The sequence below is a fragment of the Homo sapiens genome, chromosome 6 (assembly GCF_000001405.40).
Source record: "Homo sapiens chromosome 6, GRCh38.p14 Primary Assembly".
Lineage (NCBI taxonomy): Eukaryota > Metazoa > Chordata > Mammalia > Primates > Hominidae > Homo > Homo sapiens.
The window spans coordinates 24500512-24521329 of record NC_000006.12 but is presented as its reverse complement, the minus strand read 5'-3'; the positions used below and the strand labels follow the sequence as shown (position 1 = coordinate 24521329).

The window sequence follows — 20818 nt, the reverse complement described above, 5'->3', positions numbered from 1 at the left end:
TTTCTTTCTAGAGTTTCATTTCCTCATCTCTAAAATGCAACGTTTGTAGAGCTGATAACTGTGAAGGTCCCTGACAGATCAAATATTCCAGGATTTCCTAGGAAGACATGAGCTCAGGCCTCTGGTCTCCCAGGACAGCCTGGATGCTCCTCTAAAACACTGCTGGCGTGGGCCTGTGCCCTGTAGAGGGCACCTCTGAGGCTCCCTCCATCTCGGGACAGCGAGGCCCCACTGGGTCATAGCAGGCAACAGGGTTTTGAGTTATTCCAGCCACCACCCTCCTCAACATTTTCTTACTTTCTTTCCCTTGGCCTCAGAGACCCCAATTGTTCAAGGCTGTTCTGTGTCTGAGGAGATTATATCCGTTCAGTAGAAAAAAGATCAATGAAAGAAAACTATAAAAATAACCAGATTAAAAGGATAGGGGAAAGAAGAAAACAGAGAACAATTTGACTAAAGGACATCTGCTGTTCAGAAAATTATTTGAAGCCAGGGACTGTACCTTATTTTGGGGGGGCCCCTCTGAGCCTAGTATAACCCTGGTAATAAAAAGTAAGGCATATACTAAATATTTGCTGAAAGAGTCAATGAATAAAGAATGAATAATGGAAGGAACCCAAAAGTTTCCTTATGGGATATAAGGCAGTAGAGGTGGTGGGATCTTTGTAACACACACACACGCACACACACACACACTCACATGCACACATATCACACACACACACATACACACACTCACACATGCACACGCAAACACACATCCTGAAATACTCTCCAGGACTCACCTGTCCAGTGTTCCTAAATTTAGATGCCATGGCCCCTGCTACAGCCTGGTCCACGTTGGCACTGTCAAATACTATAAATGGAGCAAGGCCGCCCAGCTCCATAGAGACCCTTTTCACAGAGTTTGCTGCGTGGTGCAACAGGATCTGTGAGCAGAGGAGAGAAAGCTGTGAGCACAGAAATCCATTACCAGGATTGTTAAGCCTTTGTTTAAAAAAATTACCAAATGGTGAAAAAAGCAAGGTGCACAGTGGTGTACATGGGATAACTTTGCATAAGAAAACGGAGAAATAAGAATATATATTTACATTTGCTTGTATTTGATAAAGAAACATTGGGAAGAGGCTGGGTGTGGTAGTGTGCACCTGTAGTCCCAGCACCTTAAGAGGCTGAAGTGGGAGGATTACTTGAGGCCAGGGGTTCCAGACCAGCCTGGGCAGCATAGGGAGACTCCATTTCAAAAATTAAATAAATAAATAAATTAGTAAAATAAACACTGGGATGACAAGACACTAAAAGTCATTATTTATAGAAAGAGGGAGTGAGTCAGGGTTGGGGTAGGGTGAGACTTGTCATGGTAAACATTAATACTGTCTTAATTTTTCAACCATATAAGTAAGTGTTTATCTATTCAAAACAATTATATGATGGGCTTAAAAATCATAGAGATAAGAAAATAAAATCACCTAGAATCCCACAACCCACAGCTTACACTGATAACATTTTAAAGTACATCCATTTAGAATGTAGCCATGCAGATTCAGGTACATGTACATTTAAAAAAAAAAAAACAGGATGGTATAATTATATAATTATACCGTTTCGTAACCTGCTTTATCTTCCCAATGAATCACATATTTGGGACGTCTATCTTAAAATTTTCATAACCCTTTATATCTTGCTCCTTTAATGTAACACTCTAATGTGAAGATCCTCTTGTGTCAGCACATATGTTTCTAGAACTTTATTTATTATTATTATTGAGATGGAGTCTCGCTCTGTTGCCCAGGCTGTAGTGCAGTGGCGCAATCTCCAGTTACTGCAACCTCCACCTTCTGGGTTCAAGCAATTCTTCAGCCTCAGCCTCTTGAGTAGCTGGCATTACAGACATGTGCCACCACACCTGGCTAATTTTTGTATTTTTAGTAGAGATGGGGTTTCGTCATGTTGGCCAGGCTGGTCTTGAACTCCTGACCTCAAGTGATCTGTCTGCCTCAGCCTCCCAAAGTGCTGGGATTACAGGTGTGAGCCACTGTGCCCGGCCTAGAACATTCCTTTAGATGCTTGCATAGTATTCCACTGCATGGCTCTTCTGTAATTTATTTATTCAGGCCCCATCTGTTGGACATTTAGGTTGTTTCCATCCTTGCCATTAAAAAAACGCTGTGGATCGCGCCACTGCACTCCAGCCTGGGCTACAGAGCGAGACTCCATCTCAAAAACAAAACAAAACAAAAGACAAAAACACTGTGATGATTCTGTCAGGATGAACATGTAGAATTGCTAGCTCAATGTATAATCATAAGGCTTTTGGTACCTATAGCTATTATAGTTTAAATATCCAGTAAGAGATTTCATAGCCTAAGAAGCTGCTTAGGGATGTTTAAATGCTTTATTAAGGATAGTAGGTCTTTGTCTAGTCATGGCTGCAGGAAAGATGGGACCACACTTGAGATAGTTCGAGTGAAACAGACGGTGTTCGCAAGCCCAAGGTGGCTCTAGGATTGCCCCCCAAGTGTTGTACATTCTGAGGTCATGAGTTTTGTGACACGGTTCTTGGTAAAAACACAGAATGGCTGGAAAGCTAGGCCTGTGTGGGTACTGTGTATGTGTCTGTATGTTAATATTCCAGCAATCAAATGGTAGTAACAATCTTCTCTGAAACATTACTGTTCAACAAAGTAGTTCAAGTTTTAAGACTAAACATATTTCTTTATCGGACGCAACATAACTATTTAAACTTTTTTTATGTTTTTATTTAAAAATTTTTAAGAAACGTCATTGACTTTTCCTGGATTTGCTTCAGTGCAAAAATGATTCTCACTGTTGGGTCACTCCATTTTGCCTCCACCTGGCCTTGAGCACAGGTCCTGTCTCTGGTGTCTGTCCCTCCACCTGCACTGGCTCTGTGTCCTCTGACAGTGTCCTCTCCCCACTCAGTCTCTGCTTCTCCAGGAAGGCGGCTTGCCCTGGCCACTGGGTATAGTGTAAACTCCTGTCATGTCTTAATGAATCTTTTCCCAGCTCCAGTTCCCATGGGCTGACCTCCTCAGGGCCTCAGCTTCCAAAGACAGCATGTGATTGGCCCAGCCTACCTTTCTTTCTTTTTCTTTTTTTGAGTTTAGGAGCAGAAGTTTAATAGGCAAAAGAAAGAGAAAGAAACAGAAAGCAAAACAGCTCTCTCTCTTCTCTAGTGAAGGAGAGGGGAATTCCTAGAGGAAAAGGCCCTGACCTAGCCCACCCTTCTATGCCAGGCTACTTGTCCTAGGTCACTGGCCAGCCCACAATTTCTGTTTCGCTCAAGTCAATGACCACTCATGATTCAGTTTTCTGAACAGAGGAAGAGATGAGGTATCATATGCTTTACAACATGGCTGCTGTCCTCTCAGCGGGGTCCTGGGAGGGGTGGCCCCCCTAGAAAGTGGCAAGGGCAGGGCAGGCATGCCTAGAACAGGCTCGCTGTGTATGCCTCAGTTATGAGGCAAGGTTCTCCACCCCAGGACCAGAAGCTCAGCCCCTAATCTCTGAAGACCAGCTCAGCAGAGGTGCTTGCTTAGTTATGCATCAGTTATCCCTTCAGCTATACTTGTCACATTTCCTGTTCAGTCACTAGAGGTGCATCACTGTCCTGGGTCAAGAGGAGCAAAGCTGGACTTGGCAGGGTCATGGCTGATATTTTCCTGGAGCCCTGTTAGATGAGGATAGTTTGCTGAGAAAACTGAGTTGCTGCCCTTCGCCCAGTATCCTGGAAATTTCTCTGGCTTGAATGAGAAGGATTTACAACGCTTTCTCCCAGGCTTCCCTCTTTCTTTCTAACTACTTCGTAGTAACATTTGAATCTTTCTGCGGATAAGTTTGCATTGTAAGACCCACTGATCAGGGGCATAGCAGTTTATGGATCTAAAAATTCCTATTTCTATTATGAATGAATGGTAGGATTCCACAGCACTACTCCCTGAGTATGAGTTTATAGCATGACAAAAGTGATTATGGTTGGGAGACATTAAAAGTACATTATTCCAGCTGGGCACGCTGGCTCACACCTATAATCCCAGCACTTTGGGAGGCCAAGGAGGGAGGATCACTTGAGGCCAGGAGTTCCGGATCAGCCTGGCCAACATGGCGAAACCCCATCTCTACAGAAAATACAAAAATTAGCCAGGCGTAGTGGCACATGCCTGTAATCCTAGCTACTCAAGAATCTGAGCACGAGAATCACTTGAACCCAGGAAGCAGAGGTTACAGTTAGCCAAGATCACGCCACTGCACTCCAGCCTGGGCAACAGGGCAACTGTCTCAAAAAAAAAAAGTTAAATTATTCCCTCCTGCTTCTCATGGTTTCTAAAATGACCATAGATGCACAAAATCTTTGAAATTAGACTTTTTTATTTTTATTATTTTTTGAGGCAGGGTCTCACACCTATTGCCCAGGCTAGAGTGCAGTGACATGATCACAACTCACTGCAGCCTCAACCTCCCAGGCTCAGGTGATCCTCTCACCTCACCCTCCCAAGTAGCTGGGACTACATGTGTGTGCCACTAAGCCCAGCTAATTTTTTTTTTTGTAGAGACAGGGTTTCACCAGGTTGTCTAGGTTGGGCTCAAGTGATCCTCCTGCCTTGGCCTCTCAAAGTGTGAGGATTACAGGTGTGAGCCACCACGCCTGGGCAGATTTATATATTTTATCTGTTATGTGTTTATGGACATGAACAATGTGAGTACAGATACATATATGTGTATATCTAGATATAAACTAGTAGAAAAAAGCACACCATCTGAAGAGAAACACCATAAACAAAAATTTTGTTCCACCTTGATTTTTTCTCTTTTGGACATTTTTTTATTATTTATTTTTTTTAATTTTTAATTTTTTTTTTTTTTTTTTTGAGACAGAGTCTCACTCTGTCGCCCAGGCTGGAGTGCAGTGGTGTGATCTCGGCTCACCTCACTGCAAGCTCCGCCTCCTGGGTTCACACCATTCTCCTGCCTCAGCCTCCTAAGTAGGTGGGACTACAGGCGCCCGCCACCACGCCCAGCTAATTTTTTGTATTTTTAGTAGAGTTGGGGTTTCACCGTGTTAGCCAGGATGGTCTTGATCTCCTGACCTTGTGATCCGCCTGCCTCGGCCTCCCAAAGTGTTGGGATTACAGGTGTGAGCCACCGCGCCCGGCCCTCTTTTGGACATTTAAAAGGATAAATAAACATCTACTTACAGGCATACACATTAAGTTTTTAGCAAAGAACATTTCATCATTTAAGGGAAAAAAAACTCAAAGAAAAAGACCTTTCCATTTCTCTAAGTACTTTTAGACTAAACACATTTTTGTTCAATTCAAAAACATCCATTTCAACATTAATTGTGTGTTTCTGGAATCTCTAACTCTAGATTATTGAAAGAAAGATGCATTCCAGAATTGAAAAAAATACAGTGGAGAACTTTCACCCACTTCATATACAACAAATAATGCAAAAATAATGGGACCCTCGCTGCCCCAATTTCTTTGGTTTTGTCAAGCAGGAACCTATGTCGTGCCACAAAGAACTGTCCAAAATATCCCCAGAGGATGGTCAGATATTACTTTATTCAACCAACAGACCTTTTTTTTGAAACAGAGTCTGCTCTGTCACCCAGTCTGGAGTGCAGTGGCACAATCTTGGCTCACTGCAACCTTCGCCTCCCGGGTTCAAGTGATTCTCATGCCTCAGTCACCTGGGTACCTGGGATTACGGGTGTGCACCACCATGCCTGGTTAATTGTTGTATTTTCTGTGAGGGGGTTTCATCATGTTGGCCAGGCTGGTCTCGAACTCCTGGCCTCAAGTGATCTGCCCACCTCAGCATCCCAAAGTGCTGGAATTACAGGCATGAGCCGCCGTGCTTGGCCTGCGACAGAGCTTTTAACACTCTGCTGGAAATCTTTCCAAAATTGGTGATCAGGATGAAATAGTATTTTTATAACCTATCAAGATAAAATATTAGAAAGACATTTGTTTTCTTTGAAACTTGAGTCACATACCTTTCCTGTAGTTGTTGAACCAGTAAAGGAAATTTTGGACACCAGAGGATCAGTACAAATTGCCTCCCCTACTTCCTTGGCATTCTTTCGAGAACAGGGAATAACATTGTATACACCTGAAGGAATCCCAGCCTGGCTTGCAAGCTATAAAGAGAAACAGCAAACATGTGCCAACAATTTACCAAACTGAAAAAAAAAAAAAAAAAAAGAAAAGAGAAATAAATAGATACTTAACCCAAAAAGTAATGGAAGAAAAATTAAGCTGACACTGGGGACAGACTAAGAATATATTTGAAGTTTAAATATAATTCTTATTAGTGCTAAAGTCACGTTAATATTAATGGGTTGTTAAAGATCATTACAATAAAATTTCTACCGGACATGGTGGCTCATGCCTGTAATCTCAGCGCTTTGGGAGGCAGAGTTGAGAGGATCACTTGAGCCCAGGAGGTGGAGGTTGCAGTGAGCCAAGGTTGCGCCACTGCACTCCAGCCTGGGGAACAGAACAAGACCCTGTCTCAAAAAAACAAACAAACAAACAAAATTCTTAGAGTATAAGTTTCTTTCTTTCTTTTTTTTTTTTAAGACAGTCTTGCTCTGTCACCCAGGCTGGAGTGCATTGGCATAATCTCCACTCATTGCAACCTCTGTCTCCCAGATTCAAGTGATTCTCCTGCCTAAGCCTTCCGAGTAGCTGGGATTACAGGTGCGTGCCTGGCTAATTTTTGTAGTTTTAGTAGAGACGGTTTTCACCATGTTAGCCAGGCTGGTCTCGAACTCCTGGCCTCAAGTGATCCGCCCACCTCAGCCTCCCAAAGTGTTTGGATTACAGTTGTGAGCCACCGGGCCTGGCCAGAGCATGCATTTCAATGCCACGGTCTGTTCAAACTAATAAAGAAGCAAATAAAAAAACCTGAATTTCTGCCCTGAGAAAAATCAAAGGAGATGCCAAGAAAAAAGTTACTTGATTCACCTGTAGAATCAAGGGTGGGAAAGTGAAAAGGGGCATTTAATGAGCACCTACTAGGTGCAGGGCAGCAGTGCAAAGCCTTTCCATAGGTGATTTCCCAGGGGGATGATGAAGAAAGGGAGGCATAGCAGAGAAGAATGCAGCCAAGGCCACAGCTAGTAACAGAACCCGCATGCAAACCCACAGCTACCTGATCTGGACACTCATGCTCTTTCCATAGAGATTCCCTTTGGATAAGACATATCCTGAATTATTTTAATTTCTGGATTCCATTAACAATTAGCTTATTACATAAATCTGACTGGAGATTCTGGGAAGATGAGTTTGTGAGTCTCCCTCAATATCCTCATGAAAACAGCAATTAGACAGCAAACCCCAAATCTCAGAGACATTCACAAGACAATTACAACAAACATTTACAACAAGGTATCTCCACAAACCACAAATTACAAGTGGGTAAGAATATACCACCTGTGTTGACAAGACCTGACCGTCATATCAGCACCTGTGTGAGAGGAAGCAGGGGGCAGCAACGGGCCGTGTGGTATACCCAATAACAGAGAACCCCAAATAGTCCACAGCTGTTCCTCTGAGAACAGCAGCTGTAAGTGGGAGGGCCTTGCCCTATCAATAGTAGGTGAGTACATGGGATGCTGCAATGTCAATAGTAGGTGAGTACATGGGATGCTGCAATAAGGAATGAAGGGCATGGAGAGTCCAGCCCCTGGGAGCCGTGTGATGAAAGATGAGGAGGCCCTGATAAAAACAGGGGAAGGGGATGGAGCCAGCCAGGAAGCAAGCTACCTTATCTTTGAACACGATACACAAGGAAGCAAAAGGTACACTGTGAAGGAAAAGAAGCTATATTCCTAACTGGGCCTTCTTCCAAAAGTTCAGAAAACTAACTTCACATAAAAATAAAATTCTGACAAGAACACTGAGGTCAAATCCCATAAAAAGTTGTTAAAAGAAAAGAGGCTGGGTGTGGTGGCTCATGCTTGTAACCCCAGCACTTTGGGAGGCTGATGTGGGAGGACTGCTTGAGCCCAGAAGTTCTATACCAGGCTACGCAACATAGTGAGACCCTATCTCTACGAAAAAATAAAAAACAAAATTAGCTGGGTATGGTGGTGCACACCTGTAGTCCCAGCTACTTGGGAGGCTGAGGCAGGAGAAACGCTTGAGCCTGGGAGGTCGAGGCTGCAGTGAGCCGTGATAGCAACACAGTACTCCAGCCTCTGTCTCAAGAAAAAAAAGAAAAAAATAGAAAAAATAATAAGAAGTAGAATAATATCCCTATAGACAACAAAAGCATACCAGAAAGACATGCCCACAAAACAGACCCAAACTGGGCCAGGTGCGGTGGCTCACACCTGTAATCCCAGCATTTTAGGAGGCCAAGGTGGGTGGATCACTTGAGGTGAGGAGTTCCAGACCAGCCTGGCCAACATGGCAAAACCCCGTCTCTACTAAAAATGCAAAAAATAGACGGGCATGATGGTGTGTGCCTGCAATTCCAGCTACTTGGAGGGCTGAGGAAGGAGAATCGCTTGAACCAGGGAGGCGGAGATTGCAGTGAGCCAAGACTGTGTCATTTCACTCCAGCCTGGGCAACAAGAGTGAAACTCTGTCTCAAAAACAAAACAAAACAAAACAAAACAAACAACATTAAAAACCAGACCCAAACTGTAACTTACAATTTCAAAACAAGGTAAAAGATGACAAGAAAATCACATCAAGACACAAAAGAACAACCAACATGAACTGAGGCTAGAAAACTTTGGAAATGAGGTGAAGGAATATAGGAAAGAATCAGAAGAAAGAAGTAAATCATTTCAGAAATGAAAACCAAATTAGAAGGAACACAAGCATGAACAAACACAACACATAACCTCAAGAAAAATCGAAGGTGAAAAGAAAGATAATTTTAGAGATCATGGTGGATGGGAAGCAGGACTAGATTGCAGCTCCCACTCGGATGGACAAAACAGCATGTGGAGGCTTGCATTGTGAACTTTTGCTCCAGAACGACTGCAGGAATAAATCAGGAAAACTGGGAGAGCATACAGATCCTGTGAAGGAAGCAGATTGCTCCTGCAGGACCTGGGAGACACCCCAAATACTGTGCTGGTATCTACGGCTGAGAGACCCACAGATGGTTCACATCACAGGACTCTGTGCGGACAACCCTCAGTAGCAGCCTGGAGCCTGGTAGACTTGCTGGGTGGCTAGATCCAGAAGACAGATAACAATCACTACAGCTCGGCTCTCAGGAAGCCACATCCCTAGGAAAAGGGGGAGCTACTACATCAAGGGAACATCCCGTGGGACAAAAGAATCTGAACAACAGCCTTCAGCCCTAGACCTTCCCTCTGACAGAGCCTACCCCAATAAGAAGAAACCAGAAAGCCAACTCTGATAATATGAAAAAACAAGATTCTTTAACACCCCCCAAAAATCACATGAGCTCACCAACAATGGATCCAAATCAAGAAGAAATCCCTGATTTACCTGAAAAAGAATTCAGATAGTTATTTATTAAGCTAATCAGGGAGGCAACAAAGAAAGGCGAAGCCCAATTTAAGGAAGTCACAAAAAAAAAAAAAAAGATACAAGAAATAAGGGGAGAAGTTTTCAATGAAATAGATAGCATAAATAAAAAACAATCAAAACTCCAGGAAACAATGGGTGCACTTATAGAAATGCAAAATGTTCTGGAAAGCCTCAGCAATAGAATTGAACAAGCAGAAGAAAGAACGTCAAAGCTCAAAGACAAGGTTTTCAAATTAACCCAATCAACAAAGACAAAGAAAAAAGCATAAGAAAATATGAACAAAGCTTCCAAGAAGTCTGGGATTATGTTAAACAACCAAACCTAAGAATAATACGTGTTCCTGAGGAAGAAGAGAATTCTAAAAGTTTGGAAAACATATTTGGGGGAATAATCGAGGAAAACTTCTCCAGCCTTGCTAGAGACCTAGACATCCAAATACAAGAAGCACAAAGAACACCTGGGAAATTCATCACAAAAAGATCATCCCCTAGGCACGCTGTCATCAGGTTACCTGAAGTTCAGACGAAGGAAAGAGTCTTAAGGGCTGTGAGGCAAAAGCACCAGGTAACCTATAAAGGAAAACCTATCAGATTAGCAGATTTCTCAGCAGAAACCCTACAAACTAGAAGGGACTGGGGCCCTATCTTCAGCCTCCTCAAACAAAGCAATTATCAGCCAAGAATTTTGTATCCAGAGAAACTAAGCTGCATTTATGAAGAAAAGATACAGTCTTTTTCAGACAAACACATGCTGAGAGAATTCGCCACTACCAAACCAACACTACAAGAACTGATAAAAGGAGCTCCAAATCTTGAAACAAATCCTGGAAACACATCAAAACAGAACCTCTTTAAAGCATAAATCTCACAGGACCTATAAAACAAAAATACAATTAAAAAACAAAACAAAACAAAACCCAAAAGTATTCAGGCAACAAATAGCATGATGACTGGAATAGTACCTCACATCTCAATACAAACATTGAATGTAAATGCCTTAAATACTCCACTTAAAAGATACAGAATTGCAGAATGGATGAGAGTTCACCAACCAACTTTCTGTTGCCTTTAAGAGACCCACCTAATACATAAGGACTCACAGAAACTTAAGGTAAAGGGGTGGAAAAAGGCATTCCAATCAAATGGACACCAAAAGTGAGCAGGAGTAGCTATTCTTATATTAGACAAAACAAACTTTAAAGCAACAGCAGTTAAAAAAGACAGAGAGGGACATTATATATTGATAAAAGGCCTCGTTCAACAGGAAAATATCACAATCCTAAATATATATGCATGTAACACTGGAGCTCCCAAATTTCTAAAATGATTACTATTAGACCTAAGAAATGAGATAGACAGCAACACAATAATAATGGGGGATTTCAATACTCCATTGACAGCACTAGACAGGTCATCAAGACAGAAAGTTAACAAAGAAACACTAGATTTAAACTACACCCTGGAACAAATGGACTTAGCAGATATTTACAGAACATTATCCAATAGCTGCAGAATATACATTCTATTTATTAGTGCATGGAACTTTCTCCAAGATAGACCATATGATAGGCCACAAAATGAGCCTCAATAAATTTAAGAAAATTGAAATTATATCAAGCACTCTCTCAGACCACAGTGGAATAAAGCTGGAAATCAACTCCAAAAGGAACCTTCAAAACCATGCAAATACATAGAAATTAAATAACTTGCTCCTGAATGATCATTAGGTCAAAAATGGAATCAAGATGGAAATTAAAAAATTATTTGAACTGAATGACAACAGTGATACAACATATCAAAACCTCTGGGATACAGCAAAGGTGGTGCCAAGAGCCAAGTTCATGGCCCTAAATGCTTACATCAAAAAGTCTGAAAGAGCATAAATAAATAATCTAAGGTCCCACCTCAAAGAACTAGAGAAACAAGAACAAACCAAACCCAAACCCAGCAGAAGAAAGGAAATAACCAAGATCAGAGCAGAACTAAATGAAATAGAAATAAACAAAAATACAAAATATAAATGATACAAAAAGCTGGTTCTTTGAAAAGATAAAATTGATAGACCATTAGAAGAGAAGAGAGAAAATCCAAATAATCTCAATTAGAAATGAAATGGGAGATATTACAACTGACACCACAGAAGTACAAAAGATCATTCAAGGCTACTCTGAACACCTTTACACACATAAACTAGAAAACCGAGAGGAGATGGATAAATTCCTGGAAATATACAGCCCTCCTAGCTTAAATCAGGAAGAACGAGATATCCCGAACAGACTGAAATGGTAGTAAAATAATTACCAACCAAAAAAAGTTCAGGACCAGACAGATTCACAGCAGAATTCTACCAGACATTCAAAGAAGAATTGGTATCAATCCTATTGACACTATTCCACAAGATAGAGAAAGAGGGAATCCTCCCTCAACAAATGGTGCTGGGATAATTGGCAAGCCACATGTGGGAAAATAAAACTGGATCCTCATCGCTCACCTTATACAAAATAAACTCAAGATGAATCAAGAACTTAAATCTAAGACCTGAAACTATAAAAATTCTAGAAGATAACATTGGAAAAACCCTTCTAGCCATTGGCCTAGGCAAGGATTTCATGACCAAGAACCCAAAAGCAAATGCAACTAAAACAAAGATAAATAGCTGGGACTTAAATAAACTAAAGAGCTTTTGCATGGCAAAAGGAACAGTCAGCAGAGTAAACAGACAACCCACAGAGCAGGAGAAAGTCTTCACAATCTATACATCTGACAAAGGACTAATATCCAGAATCTACAACAAACTCAAACAAATTAACAACAAAGAAAACACTCCCATCAAAAAGTGGGCTAAGAACATAATAGACAATTCTCAAAAGAAGATATACAAATGGCCCACAAACATATGAAAAAATGCTCAACATCACTAATGATCAAGGAAATGCAAATCAAAACCACAATGCAATACCACCTTACTCCTGCAAGGTTGGTCATAGTAAAAAAATTAAAAAATAATAGATGTCAGTGTGGATGTGGTGAACAGGGAACATTTCTACATTGCTGGTGGGAATGTAAACTAGTACAACCACTATGGAAAACAGTGTGGAGATTCCTTAGAGAACTAAAAGTAGAACTACCATTTGATCCAGCAACCCCACTACTGGGTATCTACCCAGAGGAAAAGAAGTCATTATACAGAAAAGATACTTGCACATGCACGTTTATAGCAGCACAATTCACAATTGCAAAAGCATGGAACAAACCCAAATGCCCATCAATCAACAAGTGGATAAACTGTATCCTATGTGGTTTATACATAGGATGGAATACTACTCAGCCATAAAAAGGAATGAATTAATGGCATTTGCAGTGGGCTGGATGAGATTAGAGGATTAGAGACTATTAATCTTTTTTTTTTTTTTTTTTTTTTTTTTTGGAGATGGAGTCTTGCTCTGTCACCTGGCTGGAGTACGGTGGCATGATCTTGGCTCACTGCAACCTCTGCCTCTCAGTCCAAGTGATTCTCCTGCCTCAGCCTCCCAAGTAGCAGGGACTACAGGTGCGTGCCACCATGCCCAGCTAATTTTTGTATTTTTAGTAGAGACGGGGTTTCACTATGTTGGCCAGGATGGTCTCAATCTCTTGAGCTTGTGATCTGCCCGCCTCAGCCTCTCAAAGTGCTGGGATTACAGGCGTGAGCCACCGCGCCTGGCCTGGAGAGTATTATTCTAAGTTAAGTAACTCAGGAATGGAAAACTAAACATCATATGTTCTCACTCATAAGTGGGAGCTAAGCTGTGAGGAAGCAAAGGCATAAGAATGACACAGTGGACTTTGGGGACTCAGGGAGAAAGGGTAGGAAGGGGGCAAGGGATAAAAGACTACAAATTGTGTGCAGTATATACTGCTCAGGTGATGGATGCACCAAAATCTCACAAATCACCACTAAAGAACTTAATCATGTAACCAAATACCACCTGTTCCCCAATAACCTATGGAAATAAAAATTAAAAAATAAAAATAAAATCAGACATTTTACACCCAGAAATAAAAGATAATTTTAAAAATTAGGGAAAAGATGAAAAAGATACAAGAGAAAGTGACAAAAAAGATTCAACTCATGGATATCAGGAGTTCCTAAGGGAGTAAAACCAAACCAATGGTGAGGAACAAATCCTGAAAACTTTATAGAGATATAAAACAAAAAGTCTGGAAACTACATACTGAAAGAGCACACTGCATACCTAGAGTATGGACTCAAAGCAATCATCACAAAGACATATTCTAGTGACATTATTGGTCTTTAAAGATAAAGGGGGAAAAAAACCAAACCAAACACTTTTGTGTATCTAGGTAAAAAAAAAAGTTGACTTATAAGGGCAAGAAACTTAGGTTACCATCTGAATTTTCAAGAGCAATGCTTTATATCAGAAGAAAATAGAGAATACATTTAAGATAATCAAGTAAAAAAAAAAAAATGTGAGCCAAGGATTTTATACCTAGCAAAACTGATTTATAAGCACGATAGGCCCAGACTACTGTCAACATTTAAGAAGGGAAAATATTCCTAAGGAATCTACTACAGACTGAGGTTCGGATCACCAAATGTCCAGAGAGACATTAACATAAGCACTGGTGGTAAGCATAAACATACAACTGCTTGTTCAACTAAGTCTAAAGGAGGGTTAAACTGGAGAGAGTAGAGCATGTAATGGTTGTAGTTTTGGCAACACAGATACAGTATAACTATTTTAAAATACAGACAAATGTTCATAGCCAAGAGGGATTAAGGAGACAAGGCAACTAAATGTAATGGGATATCCTGGACCAGATCCTGAAACAGAAAAAGGAGACTAGGTACAGACTAATAAAATCTGAGAATGGATTTTAAAGTATGGACTTTAGTTAATAACAACGTATCACTATTGATTCATTAATTGTAACAAATATACTAATGTAAGCTGCTAGTAATAGGAGAAATTGAATGTGGGGTATGTGGGAAATAGCCCATCTATGCAATTTTTCTGTAAATGTAAAACTATTCTAAAATAAAAGTTTATTACTAAAAATGAGAATGGAAAGAGAAAATACCAAAAAAGTAAACCATTTTCAATAGGCACATTGGTGATATTAAAATTAATATTTAAAACAAATAAAATTGATATTCAGAAGCTGTTGTTCTGTATAATGAGTACATACAGAATATTAATTCAGTCATTTCCTGAGTCTTTAGAAACCAGGAAAGAGGCCGAGCGTGGTGGCTCATGCCTGTAATCCCAGCACTTTGGGAGGCCGAGGCGGGTGGATCACGAGGTCAGGAGTTCAAGACCAGTCTGGCCAAGATGGTGAAACCCAGTCTCTCCAAAAAATACAAAAATTAGCTGGGTGTGGTGACGGGCATCTGTAATCCCAGCTACTCGGGAGGCTGAGGCAGAAAATTGCTTGAACCTGGGAGGCAGAGGTTGCAGTGAGCCAAGATTGCGACCCTGCACTCCAGCCTGGGTGACAGAGCGAGACTGTCTCAAAAAAAAAAAAAAAAAAAAAAAAAAAAAAGGAACCAGGAAAGAAGGAGGTGCAGATATAATATAAAATAAATTAAGTAAAAACTCTATAGGACTGAATTTGAATTCGAAGTTTCTATAGGAATTTCTGCAGCATTTTATTGTGTGTGTACACATGTGTACACATATATGTATATCTCCTAGCCCTGCCCACTGAAAAGGCCTACAAATAGTGATAGGGTAGGTAGTTTTAGGTGTTCTGGGGGAAAAAGCAAAGCAGAGGAGGGGATCAGGAGGATCAGAGTGTGAGGTTGTGATTTTTTTTTTTGAGACTGAGTCTCACTCTGTTGCCCAGGCTGGAGTTCAGTGACACCATCTCGGCTCACTGCAATCTCCGCCCCCAGGGTTCAAGCGATTCTCCTGCCTCAGCCTCTTGAGTAGCTGGGATTACATGCACATGCCACCACGCCCAGCTAATTTTGTATTTTTAGTAGAGACAGGGTTTCAGCATGTTGGTCAGGCTGGTCTCGAACTCCTGACCTCAAGTGATTTGCCCACCTTGGCCTCCCATAGTTCTGAGATTACAAGTGTGAGCCACCACGCCCAGCCAAATTGTGATTTTTAGACAGGGTGGCCATGGAAGGCCTCCCTGGGAGAGAGGAATTTGAGTGAAGACGTGAAGAAGCAAGTTATAGGGGTATCTGGGGGAGACTGCTCCAGACAGAGGGAAAGTATAAAGTTTGAGTGGAGGGCAAGGCTGGCGGGGTCTGGAAAGCGGCAGGGGCCAGAGTGGTCCAAGCAGATGAATGAAGAGTGAGGGGTTCCAGTGTGATGGACGAAGTCAGAGACATACTGGGGGGGTGGGAAGTGACATAGGACCTTGAAAGCCACTAAGGAATCTGGACTTTACTCTGAGTGAGTGACACAAGAGGCCACTTGAGGTTTTCAAACAAAAGAATAAGATCTAATGGAATGCAGATTGAACTGGGAATGGGAATGGGAAATAAGAAGTTTCCTAAATGTGAGAAACACCCATGTTTAAGTGCCTAGTTTATGAAGATGATGGATAGATACCATTTTACAGTAGGCTGAAAACATATGGCCTGCAGATGTCAGAAGATCCCTCATCCATTTTTTTCCCAAAAGAGCTACAGCTGACTTAAAGTAATCACCAGTAGATTAATACACAACACCATGCATCAGGAGGCGTAAGCAAAGAAGTAGGCTCCAAAATTGCTTCTTTCTGTCCCAGATAAACATCAATTTTTGAACTTTGTCTGCTTTGTACAAACACAGGGAGAGCGGCTCACCTCAGCCAGGGCCAGGGCGGAGAAGGGCGTGTCTTCGGCAGGCTTCACCACGACAGTACAGCCGGCTGCCAGGGCGGCCCCCACCTTCCGGGTGATCATGGCACTGGGGAAATTCCACTGGGGTTAGAAGAGCAGAGGAAGTATGTGAGAGGAAGGACCACCTCCTTAGTGCAAAGGAAGGCATGTTGGGAAGTCAGTGAACAAATTTCATTGCACAACTGATTGACAAACCCGTTTGGCTGCACAGGTGAGCTCTCAGAACACCTGACCCCCCCGCCAACTTGAGGGACTCTGAGATAAAGGCTCTTGAAGACAGGAAATATTTTTAGAATTTAACACAGTAAAAAATTAGTTAGACCAGGGGTCAGCCAACTTTTTCTGTGAAGGGCCAGATCGTAAATTTTTTAGGCTTTGTAGAATGTATGGTTTCTATGGCAATTACTCAACTCTGCAGCTGTATTGTGAAAACAGCCACAGATAGTAGGTGTATGAATGGGTGTGGCTGTGTCCCAATAAAACTTTATTTACAAACATAGGCAGTGGGCTGGATTTGGCCTGAGGCCCATGGGAGTAAGTATTAGCAATGGTTTTGAAAATGGCAGATGATTTATTATTCCTTCCACATACATATTTATAAATGCCTATACATATACCTATAATAACAGTATTTTATTTTATTTTGAAAAACTCTATTATATAGTACTTACTCTGTATCAGGTATTTTTCTAAGTACTTCAAAATTAAAATTAATTAAATCCTTATCACAACCCAATGAGGTTGATATTAACCTCATTTGCAAGTTCAAGAAAACGGAGACAGTGCAGTTAAGTAATTTGGCCAAGGTTGCACATTTAGTAAATAGTGACCTTCAAGTCAAACCTAGCCAGTCTAGGCAATCAGGGGGATTCTGTCTGTAACTATGCTGAGCAGGAAAAACACAGACGTCTCGAGACCAGCTGACAGATACAGGAGAGAGGTTAATATGGGACCTAGTAGAAGGCAGGACCCAGAAGGAAAGCTGGGCGTTCCACAAATATACTGCAGCCCCATCCAGGCAGATGTGATACCTTATTTCTTAGCCTTTTTACCTCTAGAACCTGGCCCAGTGCCTGCTAGTGGGTCCACAAATGCTTTGTTATTGATGATAACCATCAATTAAGCATAACACTTTTTTCCAAACTATGGCAAGTTTAAAAATGTATCATATCTTAAGTCTTTTTAAAAATGATAAATACTGGAAGATCTTTTCAGAGGTGCTAGGCAATGCCAGGAAGAAGCCTCCATGCCAAGTCAGAAGAGCCCCTGGGTCCTCCTGCGGCTCATCCCACTTTTGCAGGCATTAGAAATGCATCATTCCACTCACTGCCACCACACCTAACATCATCACAGAGGACTAGGAAACACACTTCCACATCCAGCAAAAGCATCAGGAAACCAGGAACAGGTGACAAAACTAACAGGATGAGCACACCTGCTCACGAGGAAGAATGAATTGTTTCCCAACTCCCTATCCAATCTCCCACCCTAGGATCTTGCTGATCCTGTCACCTACCGGGGTGATGACTGCAGCCACGCCTATGGGCTGCTTGAGGACCAGGGCCCGCCTGTCCTTTGCCGGGGTGTGGATAATGTCTCCGTAAACACGGCGGGCTTCCTCAGAGAACCACTCTAGGAAAAAGGCGGAATAGAGAATTTCTCCATGTGCCTCCTTCAGTGGCTTTCCCTAAATTAAATCAGAAAAGAACCCACGTATTACCTTCTAATAATAAAAGCATGGCTCTGTGTTCCTAAATTCTTCAAGATGCAACAAGAGTAGAAAAGTCTCCTATAACGATACCCATAGAGTGGGGAAAATTTCTGACTTTGGTGTGAGTTTTAAAAAGCAGAATTACAATGATGAATGTATCACCCTAAACCACAAGTCATTGCATTCTCAATATGTTTACAAATTAGGAAACATCTAATTTTTTCCTCCTTTCAATATCTTCTAAGTATTGTAACCACGATATGAAATAATTTATTATATCTATGGAAGAAGTATTGGTACATTAAAAAATGTACAAAAACAAGTTTAAAAAAAAAAACAACCAAAACAGTAACATGGAAAAAAATCAGAATGGTGAAACAGCAGTTATTCATATAGTTGCAAACAAAATCTATTTTTGGATACTATTAAAGAATAAACTAGAACATACAAATATTATTTTAGCAAATCTAAGTACCCTGGCACAATAATGATTTGGTATTTGATCAGTAGAGAAGGAATCACATATTCTTCAGCTACAGCCAGCAGTGAAGGGAAGTCAGCGGCTTTCCCAAGTTTAGTGTAAAAATTCCTGGAGAATTTCTCAGTGCACCAAGCCAGAACCCTGAACTTACACTTTCAGCTGTGATTATTCTGGCAAGGTCATCCTTATTTTGTATCATTAAATTGTACCACTTCCGAAGTAATGAACTCCTCTCCTGCAAAAGAAATAACAAGGCAGAAAAGTAATAAAATGCCAAGTGTAAGACAGAATGCTAAATAAAATTCAATATCCTAAAATATTAGCTGTATGGTCTCATTCTCCTTGGTTGTAATGGTTAATTTTATGTGTAAATTTGACTGGGAGACCCAGATAGCTGGTAAAACATCATTTCTGGGTATGTCCGTGAGTGTTTTCGGAAGAGATTAGCATTTGAATCAGTAGACTGAATAAAGAAGATTTGCCTTCAAAAATTCAGGTGGGTATCATCCAATCTGCTGAGAACCTGAAAAGAACAAAGTGGCAGAGGAAGAGCAAATTCACTCTCTGCATGAGCTAGGACATCCATTTCCTCCTGTTGTCAGACACCAGACATTGTCATTCCTGGTACTCAGGACTTTGGACCCAGTCTGGAACTCAGACTGGACATATCAGCTTTCTTAGGTCTCCAGCTTGCAGACAGCAGAGGGTGGGACTTCTTAGCATCCACAGTCACATGAGCCAGTCCTTTATAAGAAGTCTCTTCCTATATTCCTACATATCTATGATTATATATATACACACATACACATATATATATACACACACACACATATATATATACACCCACACACACACACACACATATATATATATATATATATAAAACATTGGTTCTATTTTTCTGGACAACCCTGAGTAAGATGCTTGGGGAAACATACATTGAACTTCTGTGTTTTTTGATTGTTTGTTTTTGAGACAGGGTCTGGGTTTGGACAATGAAAAGCACACAAATAAAAAAAATCAAAAATTTAAAAAAATTTTAAAAAAGAGACAGGGTTTTGTTCTGTCACCCAGGCTGAAGTGCAGTGGTGTGATCATACCTCACTGCAACCTCTGCTTCCTTGGTTCAAGTGATCCCCCCAGCTCAGCCTACTACTGAGTAGCTGGGACCACAGGCACACATCATCACGCTCAGCTATTTTTTTAACTCCTCTGTGTCTGTTACAACTTTAAGCAGAATGTGACTCAGGCACTACATTTCCATCCACGAGACTGGCTCTGAGTTATTTCTGAACAGCTTTATGATATGCTTAGGTAGGCTTGTAACTTTGCTTCTCCAAACTATACTTTTCTTTGGAAAACAAGCCCTGTGGAGAGTTCCTTCCATCAAGTTGATTCAGTTTAACCTATTTCTAGAGGACTAGTACATGCAGAATTGGCAACTACAGGGGAAGAAAAGTTCAAAAAGCAGACCCTACAAGAGGTAACAAATACTTTTTTTCTAAACATCAAGGGTATAGCTCAAGAACACTTCGATAACAAGATTTGGTCTACTAAGGAATCCGGCTTGATAGCTAAACACTTAGACTACCAAGTTAACATCATGTTATATACATCTTACAACGATTACCTTGATCTGTTAAAATAAGCATTTTACCTTGATCTGTTAAAATAAGATTACTTTGATCTGTGAAACTAAAAAAGCATTACTAGCTCTGCCTTAGTGCTTAAGGTATCACAGCATCACTTAGAAGTAGAAAGAAATCTTATCTTCCCCTTAAAGTCGTTGTTGTCATGCCATACAGACTTTTCATGCTAACAGGATCTACAGGATGATCATGCTCAGCTAATTAAAAAAAAATTTTTTTTGTACAGACAAGGTCTCACTATATTGCTCATGCTAACTGACCCTTCTTTGATGAGTAATAGAGATCCAATTTCAAGTTGCATCTAAAGAGGTATACTGCGTCATAAATTATAAAAGATAAAATAAGTTTTGTGGAAACAGCTATTATTGCTTATGGTAAATAAGAACAACTTTAATTTTACCATACAAAGGTATATAGTTCCCTACGTTATTATTATTATTATTATTATTATTATTATTATTTTAGATACGGTCTTGATCTGATGCCCAGGCTGGAGTGCAGTGGCGCAATCATAGCTCACTGCAACCTCAGACTCCTGGCTTTAAGCGATCCTCCTGCCTTGGCCTCCCAAAGTGCTGAGATTACAATCATGAGCCA

General features: G+C 40.9%; 1 protein-coding gene across 3 annotated transcripts in view, besides 4 other annotated features; it reads right to left on the bottom strand.

The window, feature by feature from the left end:
- Window positions 1-20818, bottom strand: part of ALDH5A1 (aldehyde dehydrogenase 5 family member A1) — a 42239-nt gene that overhangs the window by 15878 nt on the left and 5543 nt on the right. The window contains exons 2-7 of one of the 3 annotated variants that reach the window (NM_170740.1): window positions 18724-18807; window positions 17897-18067; window positions 16345-16461; window positions 9462-9500; window positions 6020-6163; window positions 786-929 (exon numbers count right to left, since the gene is read on the bottom strand). In NM_170740.1, coding sequence (NP_733936.1) covers window positions 786-929; window positions 6020-6163; window positions 9462-9500; window positions 16345-16461; window positions 17897-18067; window positions 18724-18807 — 699 coding nt within the window. The remainder of the gene's footprint in view (window positions 1-785; window positions 930-6019; window positions 6164-9461; window positions 9501-16344; window positions 16462-17896; window positions 18068-18723; window positions 18808-20818) is intronic. The other 2 variants (NM_001080.3, NM_001368954.1) reach the window with 2 other exon arrangements.
- Window positions 246-295: a silencer, noted in NCBI's record as "silent region_16991". NCBI's record gives its function as "represses an Ori minimal core promoter by ATAC-STARR-seq in GM12878 lymphoblastoid cells {active_cell/tissue: GM12878}" and the evidence as "EXISTENCE:reporter gene assay evidence [ECO:0000049][PMID:35858748]".
- Window positions 3094-3293: an enhancer, noted in NCBI's record as "active region_24153". NCBI's record gives its function as "activates an Ori minimal core promoter by ATAC-STARR-seq in GM12878 lymphoblastoid cells {active_cell/tissue: GM12878}" and the evidence as "EXISTENCE:reporter gene assay evidence [ECO:0000049][PMID:35858748]".
- Window positions 3804-3853: an enhancer, noted in NCBI's record as "active region_24152". NCBI's record gives its function as "activates an Ori minimal core promoter by ATAC-STARR-seq in GM12878 lymphoblastoid cells {active_cell/tissue: GM12878}" and the evidence as "EXISTENCE:reporter gene assay evidence [ECO:0000049][PMID:35858748]".
- Window positions 7499-7588: a silencer, noted in NCBI's record as "silent region_16990". NCBI's record gives its function as "represses an Ori minimal core promoter by ATAC-STARR-seq in GM12878 lymphoblastoid cells {active_cell/tissue: GM12878}" and the evidence as "EXISTENCE:reporter gene assay evidence [ECO:0000049][PMID:35858748]".